Genomic DNA, 14,826 nt, shown 5'->3' with positions numbered 1-14,826 from the left:
AGGAACCGCTGGCCTTTGGAAACGGGGAGAACAGCCCTTGGGGTGTGCCTGCCCATCCCCTGGCCCTCCCAGGCCTGACATTCCAGAAGCAAGTGGGGGTACATTCTGTTCTGGGGGTGCCTCTGGGCAGCTGCAACACCCCATCCTCTGAAGGGCTGATGCGATTCTGGGGCCAATCACTGGCCCTCCCAGCACTGCACCCGCCTCCTACTTCTCTCCCGCTTCCTCTGAGATTCTGGAGCGTCCAGGGCACAGGAAACCCAATCTCAAGGGGAGCCAGAGGCCCTGCCTGTAGCAATCAGAGCTGGAGAATGTAACTATTGTGCCTCCTGAAACTGAAGTCTGAGAATCTGAGACACCCTGAGGAGGGGAACGGTGGATAGATGGGGGGCTAAGGGGACGGGTCACAGAGGGGTTCTCCCCGTCTCAGCAGACAGGAGACTCAGGGGACCAAGGAAGTCCTTGAGAATGCAGGGCAGCCAGAGGGCCGGGGGATGAGGCTTGGCCAGGGTCTGGGCCCACGGGGCTTCTAGGATCTTCCTCTCCTTCTCTCCATTCCTCACCCTGCTCCACCAGCCACCATGCATGTGCACACACACATGTGCACAAACACACACACACATGCACACACACATCCTGGAGTCATCCTGAGGTGGCAGGTTTTTCCCTCCTCTGTCATCCCTAGAGTCTCACATGGTTTAAAGCCGGAGCCTGAACAAGAAGCAGAGCCCGCAAGCTGTGGGTGGGGGCAGGGATAAGGACAGGGGAACATGTCACCCCATTATCGTCCTCTCCCCTTTCCTCATTCCCTCCCTGCTCACAGATCCAAAGGGGCTTCTGCCTTTGACTTGACTGACCTGCTGGAGATGGGGGAAGAGGACATGGCAGAGGGGATAAGTGACAGGAAAGAGGAAGAAACCGAGTGACACCCACATGTGGTCTAGGCCTGCTCTGGCTGCCCCTAGGGCCTAGGCTCAAGAAAAGCCATTGTTGGGGGCGGGGGGGTAGGGAAGGCACAGGAACCTGGCAGATGAAGGGCCAGCATCTGGATGGGACATTCCCCTCTCCATCCCCTGACCCCAGGAAGAACTACTTTCTCCATTCCAACACATCCCGGCCTCTACGGGTGCCCCTGGAGCAAGTGCCAGGCCTGGCTACTACAGGACTCACAGCTCGGCAGTAAGGCTTCGGGAAGCGAGGAGAAAGCAAGTCCATCAGCTCATCTTGTACCCAGGAGACCAGCAGAGCAGTCTCACACTTCATCTGAAAGCCTCAGGCCCCACACGGTGTCGAGGTGAAGAAGGCCTGTCTCCTACAGTCCTTGGTTGCCTCCACTCCCCATGTGGAGATAGACTCATAGCCAGAAGCCTTCCAGCCACACAGCCCATCACTGCCTCCCTCATATAATGAGAAAGGTGTTCCTAAGCTTAAAATTTTCCTCCAGGAAAACAATAGAACTCCCACCTCCCTTCCATCCCCAGCAAGTGGCCCCGGAGCCCTCCAGGGAGTTCTTCTGGTGTGAGCTACTCAGCGTTCTCTGCTTGGCTCCCGTTCATTAGCAGCCGTCCCCAGCCCAGGGAGAACTCCTTTAGATGGGCCCAGGCATGGAGCGGCAGAAGAAGCCAGGAGGCACTGGGGAACTGAATGCTCAGTTGCTCTTCCCCAAGGGATGACAGGCAGTGGCCAGCAAAGGAGAGAGAGAAGGGATATGCCCCTGGTGCACAACAGAGCACCCAGCAGGTGGACAAAGGCCCACCTGCCAATGGCCACTCCAGGATCAGCCCAACAGTTAATAAATGAGACCCCCAGCCACAGCAGCAATGGGACATGCGAGTGGGCCTGCAGGCTCCTCCTGTGTCTGCCCATGGCAAGGTGACCCAGCACCAAACCTAGCACCTCAGATACCTGACTATGGAGGGAACAAGTGGACCCAGGGCATGGCAGCAGCACTGTCTGGGGTGTTTCAGAGATACCTGGGGTAGGAATTCCCATCAGAGCAGAAGAGATTGAAGATGACAGGCAAAGATCAGGCAAGGAAGAAGGCAAAGAAAAACATCTTGGGCAGGAGCCATTGGCCTGGGTCTGCTTCCCCTGTCCTCTGAGCCTGCCCTTGGCCTACCCAGGGAGGTGCCCTTGGTCTGGAGCCTGTGTCCACTGAGGGGGTACAACACAGTGCTCTACCACTGTGGATACCCTATCCTGGGTGAGCTGGCCTTGCCCCAGCACAGAGGGGCCGAAGGGGGCATGCTGAAATGGAGGGTAGGAGGAGGAAGGAGGTGGGTGGCCAGCAACGGCATACCAAGGCTCCCCCAATTCACATCCGTGCTCCAGAACCTACCAGCCTGTGACTTTGGTCAAGTTATGAACTGTTTCCTCATCTGTAAAAGGGAGATAACACCTACCATTAGCATTCCTGGGTAAGGAATAAATGAGAAAACATGTATAATAAGGTGCTTAGCTCAGGGCCTGGCTCATAGTTGGGGCTACATAAATGTCGCCTGTCCTTCCACCTGGATTACTATTTCCCTTCATCTCCATTTGCTGAATGCTTATTCCTCCTTCTCAACTCTGTTCAAATGCCACCTCCCACCCTGGTGGGGGAAGCTGTGGCTGACCCTCAGCTCCCCTCCCCAGGAGCTCACGCTCTTGAGTACATGGTGAGTGTGTCCTAGATTGCAGTTTTTGGTGTCTTGACCCAGGGACCACTGCCAGTGAACAGAGGGGCTCCCTTGGGGCCTGGCCCACTACCATCTACAAAGAGCAACAGAGAGGTTTCTCTGCAAATATAATGGCAGAGCCTGGGCAGACACCTGTACAGGCATATCCCTCCCCACATCGGTGTGCAATAGCCATCCAACGGTCTCAAGACAGTCACCATACTAGAAACAGGGGTGGGGGAGAGAGGGCCAACAGGGAAAAGGGAGGATAGAGCTTGTCCCCCTAGACTCTGGGAGTGCTAGGCCCAAGGCCTGCCCAGCCCAGCCCAGCCTTGGAATACAGAGAGCTGAGAAAACCAGGAGCACAGGCACAGGCCCATGGGCGTCCAGGCCAGGCGCCTCTCCTGGCAGTGCTGGCTGGTGCCACGATTCAGCCGGCAGCTGGAGCCAGCATTTCTGAGAGGGCCTGGGGCCAAGAGTCATGTGATGGTGGGGTCCAGGCAAGCGGCCCCCAGCCCCTGAAGCTTCTATCCCCTCCCCAACTTGACGAAGAAAAACTGACAGTGGAGAATGCCCTCCATACCCCACATGTCAAGAAAAGAGAGGGGCCCTGGGGAGGGGGGGGGTCCCATCCCAGCAAGGGGCCTGCAGAGCTGCTCTTCCACCCCCACCCGCTTTCTCTATTTCCAGCACTGCCCTTTCTGGCCCTTTGAGCTGCCCAGGACAGGACAGGCTGGCCAGACAATCACCCTCACCCCCAGCTGCTCTTAGGGCTATTAATAGTGTCCCAACCTCCCAGGGCTGGGCATCACCCTCCTCCTACCCCCAAATACACTTGCCCTTGGTCTAATTATTCATAAAGGGACAGAGTCCTCCAGACTCTAATGCCAACCTGGTATGAGAAACAGGAGGCGGAGGCTCTGCAGGCCACTCAAGGGATGCGCCTGGGACAAGCAGGAGTTTGGAGGAGGGATGCGAGAAGGCAGGAAGCCCCAGAGCCAGAGAGCAACCAAAAGACAAAACTAAAACTAAAAGATAGAGAGAAAGGGAGAGAGAGGAGGAGCCACAGTAGAGAATCAGGGCCAAAGCAAAGAAAGAAGACTGGGGCAAGAAGAATCAGAGCAGTACAGTACAAGATTCTGAGAGAGGCAGGGAAAGGGGACAAAAACAAAAAAGAGCAGAGAGGAAATTATTCCTTTGGGCGAAGAAAAAAAAAAACAGAAAGAGGAAAACTTTCCTAAAGATACTCAAGAGTGGCTTTGTGTGCACAACTGCTGGGCTGCATGCAGCTGCCAGCATCTGTCTGGTGGGCACTCAGCAGAGTGAGGAACTGGGGAGACCCCAGGACAAGGAGCCCCTACTCACCCACCCCTGAATGCTTCTGGGGAAGGGAGGGAAGGAAGAAGAAAAGGAAAAGGAGAAGGCTCAGAGAAGGAACAACTGGCTAAGAAAAGGAAGGTGGAAGAAGTGAGACCCTATAGAGCAGGAAATTCACTTTAGCCCAGGGCAGGGGAAGGTCCCTAAGCTCTCTGCCTATTTGCCTGAGGAAATCAAAAAGGACAGAGGGTCGGCAGGGATTGGGGAGCATCAGCCTCCCCCACCACCTCTCTCTGCCCCCTGCTCTCTTTCTGGCCTTAAGCAGGGTTCTGCTCCTGCCTCCCTCCACTGTTCCCTTTCCTTGGAAGAATCCATCCAGGAAACCTCAGGGCCTGGGATTAGAACTGTAGAACCCACCGACTTCAATTCACCCTGTGGGGAAGGGGAAGTGGGAGTTAGGCTGAAGCCACCTGCCTCCCCTCCTCAGGTGCTAACTTCCTCAACCCCTGTGAGAGAGCACTCAATACCCCTGTGAGAGAGCACTCAGTACCCAGGCTGGTGACTCCAAAGGGGCCTCCTTCACCCAGAGACTTGCCTTGGTGGAGCAGGGACTGACCCTGGGCTCATGGACAAGCAACAAACACAAATGCCCACCATAATCAGATGTTTAAGTGGGGCCCTTCTCCCACCTGGAGGCTGGAAACTAAACAGCCTTTCCTCCAAATCCCACCTACACAGGGAACCTCTGGCTGGTCCATGGCTGGGGAAGTGGGAGGCTCTAGCTCTGGAAGGCATGAGAGCCCCAGAGACCTGGCCACCAGGCCACTCAGGCCAGGAGGTCCTGACCAGGAACACCCCACTAGACCATCAGCCCCTTGAGGACAAGCCCTCTCTGTTGGTTTTGTTTGCTGCTACATCCCCCACATCTCAAAGCACAGCTGCAGTGGATGATAAGACTCCAAAGAGACCCTTCTAGATCCTTCTTCAAACCATGGCTACACTGACCACCCAGGGAACAGAGGCACCAGCTAGCTGACATCTTCCCCCTCCTGAAGAAAGAATAGCTTTCTTGCAGCCCAACCACCGACACTCATGTCCAGTGAATTAATGTGGAAACCCTGATGCTGCTAATCTTCCTGCAAAGCCGAGCTGGTTCCAGACACAGGACTGAACATACTTGCACCATACTCAAGGGCTGGAATGACCAGAGGAAGGAACTGGAGCCTCACTGAGAACAGCACAGCAGGGGAAGGCAGAGCACTCTCTCGCAGGCCTGCTCTTCTCCTTGCCCTGGAGACCCGAAGGCAGCCACTGTCCAGAGCTGTCCAGAGGAAATACGAGGAATCTGGGCCTTTGACTGCAAATTTCCAGCTTGGAGCCCTAAGAGCCTGGGCAGGGATGGGTTGAATAGGACGGCACCGAGTGCTGCATAGAGCCCTGGGCCTGGAATCAGAAGCCTAGGCTCCAAATCCTAGACTTGCTGCTGTTAGACCTCCAGTGTGTCTCTCCTGCTTCTTGGTGCAACACAACCAAGACCTGCTCAGCAACATGAGATGTGAGTGGGGATTTTTACAGATTTTTTTTTAACATATTTTAACTTTGAGTTTTATATACTATAAAGTACCAAGCTTGCATAAGGACAGCAAAGGCTGCTGAAGGAACAAAGTGACACTGATCCTCCGACTGACAGCTGCCAAATTCCTCATTCATAGCTCCCTGAAGGACCAAAAAGAGGTTTTCCCCAGGCTGCCGAGCAGCACGGCTCAGGGAGCGGCGCGGCTCAGGAAGCGACGCGGTTCAGGGAGCGAAGCGCTGCACTCCTGGACGCCATAGCTAGGTGGCGCAGCGAGTTAACACTAGCTGCCCTCCGAGGGCTGCGGCGGGGCGCGGCCAGCGACCGGCCCAGAGCTCCAGGGGATGTGGTTCCCTCTGCATACCCAGGGGGTCCCAAGAGGAAGGAGAAGAACCCACTCAGGCCCAGGCCACTGGGACCCTGGTTTATGCACCAAGGAAGGAGCTGCCCGTGGCAGCGGCTCCTGTTGCTGTCGCTGCCAAACACATCCCGTGATATGAGGGCCGAGTTTCCCGTTCGCATTGATTAGGAACAGCTTGCGGTGCATGGGCCGGATGGAAAGGGGACTGCGAAATGGGTGGGCGAATAGAAGGCGGGGGACCTGCCAGGTGCATAGCTTGACTGGGGGTTATCCAGTGAGCCCGGTCCCACCCTGTGTGGCTGCCGCTCTGAATCCTGCCTGCTTCTTTCAGAACGGAGCTGCCCTCGATTTGGGGGGGAGGGGGGGGTCTAAGGCCACGTGACTCCCGGAGTATTCCTAACGCACCCAGGATGCCCTCACCTTTTGGCAGTGCAGACTTGTCTCTGCAATTGGTAAACACTTGAAAAGGAAGATCTCTACCCCATCCCCATAAAAAGTGAAAAAATGGAGAATAAAAGTCAGAGATCAGGAACCAGAGACAGAAATGGAGAAAAGTCAGGAAGAAAAAAAAAATCAGCGCCCTCTGCAGTGGCGGCAGCAGCCGGGCGGGCACACCCTCCCGGGCGGGCGTGGAGAAAGGCCCCTTTGTTCCGCTGGGAGGTTAGCCGAGGTGAGGCCGACCCCCCCATCCCCCTGACCCTGGGCAGTGCAGATCGCTTCACAGGGCCCCAGACTGGGCCTGGTTGCTTCCCTGGCCCCGCAATCCTCAGGCCCCAGAGCAAAACAGTCTAGCTGGCTGTGCGAGGGCTGCTCCCTACCCCCCCGCCTTGCCAGGCACCAAGGGTCACACATGTAGGGCTGGACTGGGCTCCTCCAACAGGTCCTTGGACACCCATACTACCAGCCATTAGCAGCTTACCCAGGCTTCTCCTAAGCTATAGGTTTCGGGGTAGATTCTGCACACAGCAGGCGCCCCACAAAGTTGTGGTCAGAGGGTGCAGCACAAGCTGGGAGCTGATGCCCCAGGAGGCAAGGCTGGCTGACCACGCCCCTCCCACCCACAGTGAGGCTCCCGGGCTCTCTCCTTCACCCGTTCCAGATATAGGCCCTTTCCAATGGCCTCAGGCTCTGGGCCAGGAATGGCCCATCCAAGGCTTCCTCAGAGTGGGGGCTGGGCTCTGTACTAGGTCCCTCTGAGAGGTGGGGACTGAGTTCATCCACTCTGTTCTCCAAGGAGCAGCCAGAGTGGAATTACCTGTCCCTAGTAAAGGGGAGCTGAGAACAGGCTTACTCCCACCCCAGAGCCTGCCAAAGCAGAGGCTGAAGTGGAGGGAAGAAATGGAGGCCAAAAGCGTTCCTCTTGGCCGGGTGCGGTGGCTCATGCCTGTAATCTCAGCACTTTGAGAGGCTGAGGCGAGTGGATCGCCTGAGCTCAGGAGTTCGAGACCACCCAGGGCAACAATGGTGAAACCCCGTCTCTACTAAAAATACAAAAAAAATTAACCGGGTGTGGTGGCACATGCCTCTAGTCCCAGCTACTTGGGAGGCTGAGGCAAGAGAATCGCTTGAGCCCCAGAGGCAAAGGCTGCAGTGAGCCGAGATCGCACCACTGCACTCCAGCTTGGGATACAGAGTGAGACTCCGTCTCAAAAAAAAAAAAAAAAAAAAAAAAGAATTCTAATTAAATCAAATTAGAAAAAAAAAAAAAAAGCATCCCTCTTGCCCTGCAGCACACCCCATCTGCTGGCACCACTCCCCCAATCATTATGGCTCCTGGCCACTCCAGTAGGGTTCCCCAAAGTCCTTAGACCAGACTCTCCACCTTTTAAAGCCAGGTGGCTTACACTTGGCCAAGAAGTGTGTCCACTTTCCAACCAGTGGCAAGCAGCCTCCAGCTCCCACTCCAAGAATGGGCAGCAGAAAACCTGGAAGGAGGGATTTGCCTGGACTGTTCTATTCTGACAGTCCCCTGGCCTCACGCTGGGGGTACCTCCTCCTCAGGAGGCCCTAACCTCCCACTAGCTCCCAGAATGCAAGTGGGAGAAGGGAGGAGGAATACACTGGGTGTCCCCAGCCTCCCCAGGCCCTGTGCTGGGGGGCTCTGGCCTAGGAAGTAAAAGGAGAGAGAAGGGGAAGGGGAGAGGCGACAGGCGCAGACCCAGCCACCTGCCCACAGGGAGCAGCAGCGGCTGGAATTACAGGGAGACTGAACCATCAGCCCTTGAAACGGCTGCAAGAGGCTGCAGCTCAGATACACAATGTCCTGCCAAACCCCAGTCCTTTAATTCAATTAAGTATGGGACAGACTTCCCAGATTTGTCTATGTGTGTGAGTGCATGTGAAAATCCCGATGTGCACGAATCCCGGGATCTATGCGCTTGTGTGCACGTGCATGTGGATGTGTGAATCCTAATGGTGGAGGACTAAGATGAGAGGAGGCAAATGAGGATGGGGGATGGGACAAGAGAAAGGTGAGACGGTGGCTCCGGGGAAGAGTGGGGACCTACATCTTCCTGGAGGGACCAACTCCAGACCAGGGTTCTCAACCCCCACACCCTGGGGATTGGGGCTGTTTCATTCACTCAGTCTAGCTCTTTTCTCAGACCTACCCCTCCCCACCTTGCCTGTCTGGCCCCCAGAAGGAGGCTCAGCAATGGTTTCATAAAGCTGGGTACGTTTCATGTGCTCCTGTACTTCTCTCCCTGCAGTATCCGGGCCCTGAGCTTTTTTTCTTTTCTGTTTCTTTTTTGCTTTTTTTGAGACAGGGTCTTGCTCTGTCACCCAGGCTGGAATGCAGTGGTGCCATCATAGCTCACTGCAGCCTCAAACTCCTGGGCTTAAGGACCCTCCTAGCTCTCCTAAAAAATTAGCTGGGGGTGGTAGCATGCAGCTGTGGTCCCAGCTACTTAGCCTCCCAAGTAGCTGGGACCACAGGTGCATGCTACCACCCCTTTTTAACTATTAGAAGAGGCAAGTTCTCCCTATGTTGCCCAGGCTGGTCTCGAACCCCTGGGCTCAAGCGACCCTCTGGTCTGGGCCTCCTAGTGCTGGCATTGATTACGGATGTGAGCTCCTGCGCCCAGCGCACATCCTGAGCTTTTAAAGTCATGGGCCTCAGGTCATGCCTACCGAGGTCCAGATGGAAGCCTGTGCTCTACATAATTGCAGGCAGGGCCTACAGGAGAGGTGAGGGCTTTCCTGAGGACAGATCCCTGGAAAGGTGTCCTGCTTAGCCCCTGGAGCCTGGTGGAAGCCCATGCAAAACCCCTCTTGCCATCCAACCACCCCTCCTGCTTGAAGGCTCCAGAGAAGCAGGAGCTGGGAGGGTCCCCACCTCACCCCAACTTAGGGCAACCCCCTCCCCTGTTCCTAGGGTCACTTGTAGCTGTACTGTCCTGGGGGTGGGGCCAGTTCCAGCTGTCTTTCTCCCCTCAGGCCCCAAGGAGCTTGCCTCTCTCCCCAGCCCTCCAGGATCCCTGAACAGCCCCCTTCTGGGAGCAGAGCCAAAAAGATGGGAGAAGGATGTTTATAAGCTGCTAAAAGGGAAAAGGAAAAAGTGGGAGTTGGGGCAGAGAGGCCCAGGCTTCCAGGTAGTATAGACTAGGGCCTCGGTTGCGGGGAGGGAGGGAGGAAGGGAGGGGCTGCCTTCCCCAGGTAGTCCAACATCTGGCTTACTGGACAAAGAAGTGCCCCCTGCCCTGCCCAGCCCACCACAACCAGACCTCAGTGTACACACTCAGGGGTCTCTAGGCCCCATGCTGGCCTGCCACATGACAGTTTCTGACATTCTTATCCTGACCCACAGGACTCTGAGACACTAGTGGGTTTTCTTTTTATGTATTTATTTACTTTTAATAGCTTGTTCCCCTCTCCTCAGCCTGAGGAGGACATGAGCAGGGGAGGGCCCGGGGCCCTGGGGAGCCGAGGCTGGGGGTGTGGCATCAGGAGCCGGCTTGGTGGGAGCGAAAGCCGAGTCTGCAGCTCGTAGGGCTCCTCGCACACAGCTAATGGGAGGCTGGCAGCGGCAAATTGTTGTTTACTTTTAATTAAGTAAACAATGTCGGCTTTCCGCCTCCTCCCCTGCCATCCCAGCCAGTAATTTGGGGGATGACAATGGGGTTGTTTCCTTCCTCCTGCCTGCTTCCCTCCCTCCAAGCACTCCTGCTCGCTCCCCGCTCTGCACAGGCACAGCCGTCAGAACTTGTCATTGGTGGGGGAGGCTCCACCCGAGGAGGGGAAGGTCCCACTGACCCGCTACTGGCTGGGCCCAGCAGGCTGCAGGTTCCACCTCACCAGGGATATGGTTCCACTGTCAGGTTCACCTAAGGGTGACAAGTGCGGCCTTGCCCTGAGACTCTCTAAGCACTGAAGGTGTGATCCATTCTCATTCTGTTCCCTCCCCTCATAGCCCTCCTCCCTAAGCAACATCTCTAAAATCCAGAAAGTTAGAGTCTCTGAGGGATGCAGCAGCAGGGAGACCACCGTCCCAGGTTGGGAAGAGATTCCCCAGGATCCAGGAAACAAGCAGGTGGAACCTCCTGTTTCAGATCAGGGCAAAGGCCACAGCCCCTGAACCAGTGGGCTGCTGGGTGGTACCAGCTTTCCTTGGAAGCAGGGCTGGCTTCATAACCTTGACTTCCACTGTTGCTGTCTTGAAATTCTTAATTTTTGAACAAGGTGCCCTGAGTTTGCATTTTGCACTGGGCCCCACAAATTCTGCAGCTGATTCTGCTCAATGGTCCAAGTAAGTGAGGAACAGAAAGAAGAATGTAGCTAAGCCAGGTTTTCACCCCTGGGTTCCCTGGCCTCGGGTGTAGGCACTGGGCTCCCGAGTGGAAGGACAGGCAAGAGGGTCCCACCCCACTCCAGGGAGGCCGAATTTCAAATGAAGCATCCTAGAAGGCGGGACTCCACGCAGGATCTTTGTGAAAACAAAGTGCTCCTAACACCCTTTAACAGTAAGAGTGAATACCACCGGGTGGGTGGGCCCACCCTATGTGGGCCCAGCCTATGCAAGCTCACCTCTCCAAGCCCTCTGCACACAGTGAGCACCTCATAAGTGCAGCAGAACTGAGCAAAACAGAAAGGAAATCCCTCCCCACTCCCTCCTCTGCCTCCCAAGGATCAAACGGTCGGGTCCAGAGCCAAGCCTGACCCTCAAGCTCCTCCCCGTGAGGCAGAAGAGACTCTTCAAGGTGTGTTCATATAGAACGGGGCGGTGGGGGGGCCTGAGTCATGTGCAAAGCCCGCTCCTCCCCCTGCCCGCCTGCTTCCCCAACTCCTTCCGAAGGGCGGGTACTGCGGCAGCAAAGTTGGCTGGGGCTGGATGCAATTTCAGCCGCAGAGCAGGGCTCCCTGGCTGGAAGCAATTTTCTCATTAGGACCCCAAGCCTGCTAGCTCGTTGCTTTTCAGCCCTCACTCCCCTCCTGCGAAACCGCACCCCACAGGCCTCCCCACAGACCACTCACACGCACAGGGAACCACACGTATATTGAGTTGAGGGGCGACTGGGGGGTCACCTCCGTGGGGCTGGGTGCAAGGAGAGATTTGCTGGCCAAAGTCCCTGGCCAGGGAGGCGCGAGGTGAGATGAGGACTCCTCACCCAGGCTCCCACACCCAGAAGCCAGTCCCTCCTGGCCTGCCCTACAGAGAGAGAGGATCCTAGACTGCAGGACCCAGAGGAGAGGCTGGGGAACCTGGGGCCAGCCGAGCCTGAGGGCTGGCCTCACGCGACACTCCCAAAAGAGACCCCCGCCCCCTTCTTCCTCAGCTAGGCCCGGGGCGAGCAGATGGGCTCTCAGGAGGCAGACCCCCCCCTCCCCCAGCCCTGAGGCTGCTCCAAGTGGAGGGTGGTCTTGGCTGAGGGAGGAGGAGAGCCGAGGCCCCGTGAGGGGCGGCTCCTCACTCCACAGACACATGTGGTTGGACTTAAAAAGCTATTAGGGAGCAAGGCACTGGCGGGAGTGCGGCCGGCCCTCGCACCAGAGGCAGGGGGAGGGCAGATGCCGAGGCGGTGAGCTCAGCACTGCCCTCCCTGGCGGGGCCCCCGGATGCAAGAAGGACTCGGGGGACCCTCACCCTGCGGGAGAGTGGGGCAGGCCCTCGGGGAAGGGCAGGCAGGCTGCTGGGCCTGGGTCCAGGCACAGATTCTGGGAAGCTTAGCAATCTGAAGACTCTAGGCCTGTGGGGGCCAACCTCTAAGTGGGAGGGAGGAGTGGGGAGGGGGGGAGGGTTGTGCCTGGCGCTTGGATGGGGCCCAGGAGGGCACAGACAGGTCCTCGGCTTTCCTCCAGCTTTCTTGGGGTGACAGCCGGCGGGAGGTCTCCTAAAGGGTGTGTGTGTTTGGTGAGGCTGGAAAGGGGGGATTATTAGGAGAGCGGGGGAGAGAGAGAAGGAAGGGAAAAGTGGGCCCCACCCATCACGAGGCCAGAAAGAACCGACGGAAAGTTCTCTAGAGCCGCCAGCTTGTAAAAAGCTCCTTTTCTTTCCAAATTATGAACATTTTTTAACAAGAGGGGGGGAAAACCCCCCAAAGCAGTGATCTAGGACTTCATTAGGACTGTGTGTGTCTCTGTGTGTGACTGTGGCTGGTGACTGAAGGGTGTGCATCTGCTGACATTCGAAAGTGTTCTCCAAAAGCTGGGCCATCCCTCCTTGGTCCCCCTACCCCCGCCCTCCTCAGGTCTGCTATTTTCAGGGCTCTAGGCACCAACCACCCTGTATGCCTAACCCAGGGAGGACACCCCACTGCTGTTACAGAGTGACATGGATGCCAGGAGGGGCTGGGGGCACACAGAGCAAGACCAGGCCTAGGACAGGCAGGCCACTTGCTACGGACCCAGCTCCGACTCTTGGAGTAGGACTCCCTGGGGTACTGGCCTCAGCACTCCCAGGAGTGGGCCATAGGTTTGGGGCACCCACAGGAGTGCAGGGAAACGTCCCACCCAAGACTCTGGAGACTCCTCTGAGCTCCTCAGCCGCCCACCAAGCCCACCTCCAGCCCCCTAGGAACCCAGGGAGCAGTGCAGAAATGGGGAGCTCGAGTTACACACTGCCTCTTCCACTCTGCGGCAAGCAGGAGCTCTGTGTTTTGGAGACATTGAATCTGCCTGATAGCCCCAAGGGGTGGTTATTTTCCCCATCTTTACAGATGAGAACATATCAACAGAGGCTCGGCGAAACCCACCAAAGTCAGCTGGAGCTGGGATGGAGTTGAACCTCCACTTGTCCCCCAACCCCCACCGAAGGCCCAGTGGCCAAGCTCCTGGGAGTTTCCCTTCTCTGTCCAGATCTGTCCACGGTAGAGACGGGAACTGGGGGAGGACCCTGGGCAGGACAGGAGAGGGGACTGCTCTGAGCTACCAGGAGTCAGGCCGGGAAGCAGGCTGGGTGGGGGAGGAGCTGACCACGAAGCTGGGATCCGTGCTCAGGAAACACGCAAAGAATGCCGCTGGCCGCAGGCCAGTAGGCCAGGACCACAAAGAGGCCTTTGTTTTAGGAGGTGTCCAGGGAGTGGATGGACAGAATGGTAGAGGTGGGGGCAGCACCCCTTGAGGGTGGGACTGGGGGAGGGCAGTGATCCCTGTACTGTCCTCACACACCACCCCCTCCTGTCTGTTCCCCCACACCTCAACCCCAGCAGTGGCAGGTTCTTCTATCAGGCCCCAGACTCCCAGGGAGGGAGCCCTTGGGGACAGATTCTCCTACTTCTCAGCTCCTGACCTCCCTCAACTGGTGGGGGTATATGTCCCAAATCCACCCTTCTGAACCCCAGAAGTTCCTAGGTGCCCCACTGACATCCTTCTCTGCCTCTACCTCTACATGCTGCTGGGGGCTTTGGGAATGAGGATGGAGGATGGGCTGGAGGGTAGCAAGGGTGGGATGGTTAGGGGCCTTTCTCCCTTCCAGGTGGACTGTCTGAGGGCACCAGAGTCACCCTGCTCCCATAGTTATCCTCGCCTCCAGGCGGAAGGGAGGGAAGGCCTTGGAACATTTCCTCTCCCCTTCCCCCCTCTGCAGTTGCAGTTTCCCTGGCCCCTTCTTGGCATCTGGAAAAGTTTGGGAAACTTAAAAAAAATATTTTTGGAGAGTTTGTCTATTGCTCCCCAGCCCTGTGAGGGAGCTACAGCCAAGAGGAAGAAGGAAAAGGAGTGGGTTGGGGTGACTAGGGGATAGAGAGTAAAGTCAAAGAGAAGCAGAGCACTCGGAAAAAGGGCAGCACCCAAGGGTGCTCCCTCAGCCAGCCTGACCCCCATCTAGGTTTCCTGGAGCTACAGGAAAGACCCCCACAAAACACTGTCAAACCACCCAGCACACCAGGCCCTGATGAAGCCCTACCCCGCATTCTGCTTAGCACCTTCTCTGGGCCATCTCCTGCCAGACATGTGTGCACTGTGCAGGAGGGGCAGCCTGTGGCTGTGGGGCCACACGGAAGGAAGGGACGTCTTAAGGCTGGATGGCCAGAGGCAGTACCAGCAGCTTCAAGTGGGGATGGAGGAGAAGGCAGGTTTCTGTCTGGATTTCCACCTCCCTGTGAACAGGACGAAGGGAACATGGGAAGACACAGACTCCTGGGGACTTGGGCTGCAGTGCCAGGCAGAACAGAACTGTGATTAATGTCCCTGTCCTCATCATCCTCACTCCTCTGGTCTGTGTGTGTGGACGGGTGCAGGGGGTGCCAACCTCACGGCCCTGGAGCCGAGCCGTTCCAAGAAGCACAGAAGCACAGCCTCAACTGGGTCGAGATGAGCACAGTATATGGAATCGGCAGGGTTAAGGCCAGGCTATGAACAACTCTAGGTTCAGCCCAAGAAAGGGCACATGTCTGACATGTGACTGTTTCTCTGAGAGAATCTGGATTGTCTTATCTAAGCCAGGAGTGTGCCCCCTTCACCCTGACATGGCCCTCAGCAGAGCC

General features: G+C 56.8%; 1 protein-coding gene across 14 annotated transcripts in view, besides 6 other annotated features; it reads right to left on the bottom strand.

The window, feature by feature from the left end:
- NFIX (nuclear factor I X) overlaps positions 1-14,826 on the bottom strand; it is a 103,322-nt gene that overhangs the window by 31,439 nt on the left and 57,057 nt on the right. The gene's annotated exons all lie outside the window — the stretch shown is intronic.
- Positions 5,676-6,575: an enhancer, noted in NCBI's record as "H3K4me1 hESC enhancer chr19:13171597-13172496 (GRCh37/hg19 assembly coordinates)". NCBI's record gives its function as "activates a minimal SCP1, AML or CMV promoter by ChIP-STARR-seq in primed H9 embryonic stem cells {active_cell/tissue: H9 hESC(primed)}" and the evidence as "EXISTENCE:reporter gene assay evidence [ECO:0000049][PMID:30033119]".
- Positions 6,576-7,477: an enhancer, noted in NCBI's record as "H3K4me1 hESC enhancer chr19:13170695-13171596 (GRCh37/hg19 assembly coordinates)". NCBI's record gives its function as "activates a minimal SCP1, AML or CMV promoter by ChIP-STARR-seq in naive and primed H9 embryonic stem cells {active_cell/tissue: H9 hESC(naive and primed)}" and the evidence as "EXISTENCE:reporter gene assay evidence [ECO:0000049][PMID:30033119]".
- Positions 9,494-10,080: an enhancer, noted in NCBI's record as "H3K4me1 hESC enhancer chr19:13168092-13168678 (GRCh37/hg19 assembly coordinates)". NCBI's record gives its function as "activates a minimal SCP1, AML or CMV promoter by ChIP-STARR-seq in naive H9 embryonic stem cells {active_cell/tissue: H9 hESC(naive)}" and the evidence as "EXISTENCE:reporter gene assay evidence [ECO:0000049][PMID:30033119]".
- Positions 10,817-14,661: an enhancer, noted in NCBI's record as "VISTA enhancer hs1900". NCBI's record gives its function as "enhancer in: ear[3/7]" and the evidence as "EXISTENCE:transgenic organism evidence [ECO:0001131][PMID:17130149]".
- Positions 11,255-11,840: an enhancer, noted in NCBI's record as "H3K27ac-H3K4me1 hESC enhancer chr19:13166332-13166917 (GRCh37/hg19 assembly coordinates)". NCBI's record gives its function as "activates a minimal SCP1, AML or CMV promoter by ChIP-STARR-seq in primed H9 embryonic stem cells {active_cell/tissue: H9 hESC(primed)}" and the evidence as "EXISTENCE:reporter gene assay evidence [ECO:0000049][PMID:30033119]".
- Positions 12,428-13,014: an enhancer, noted in NCBI's record as "H3K27ac-H3K4me1 hESC enhancer chr19:13165158-13165744 (GRCh37/hg19 assembly coordinates)". NCBI's record gives its function as "activates a minimal SCP1, AML or CMV promoter by ChIP-STARR-seq in naive H9 embryonic stem cells {active_cell/tissue: H9 hESC(naive)}" and the evidence as "EXISTENCE:reporter gene assay evidence [ECO:0000049][PMID:30033119]".

The sequence above is a fragment of the Homo sapiens genome, chromosome 19 (genome assembly GCF_000001405.40).
Source record: "Homo sapiens chromosome 19, GRCh38.p14 Primary Assembly".
Classification (NCBI taxonomy): domain Eukaryota; kingdom Metazoa; phylum Chordata; class Mammalia; order Primates; family Hominidae; genus Homo; species Homo sapiens.
This window is presented reverse-complemented; position numbering and strand designations above follow the sequence as displayed.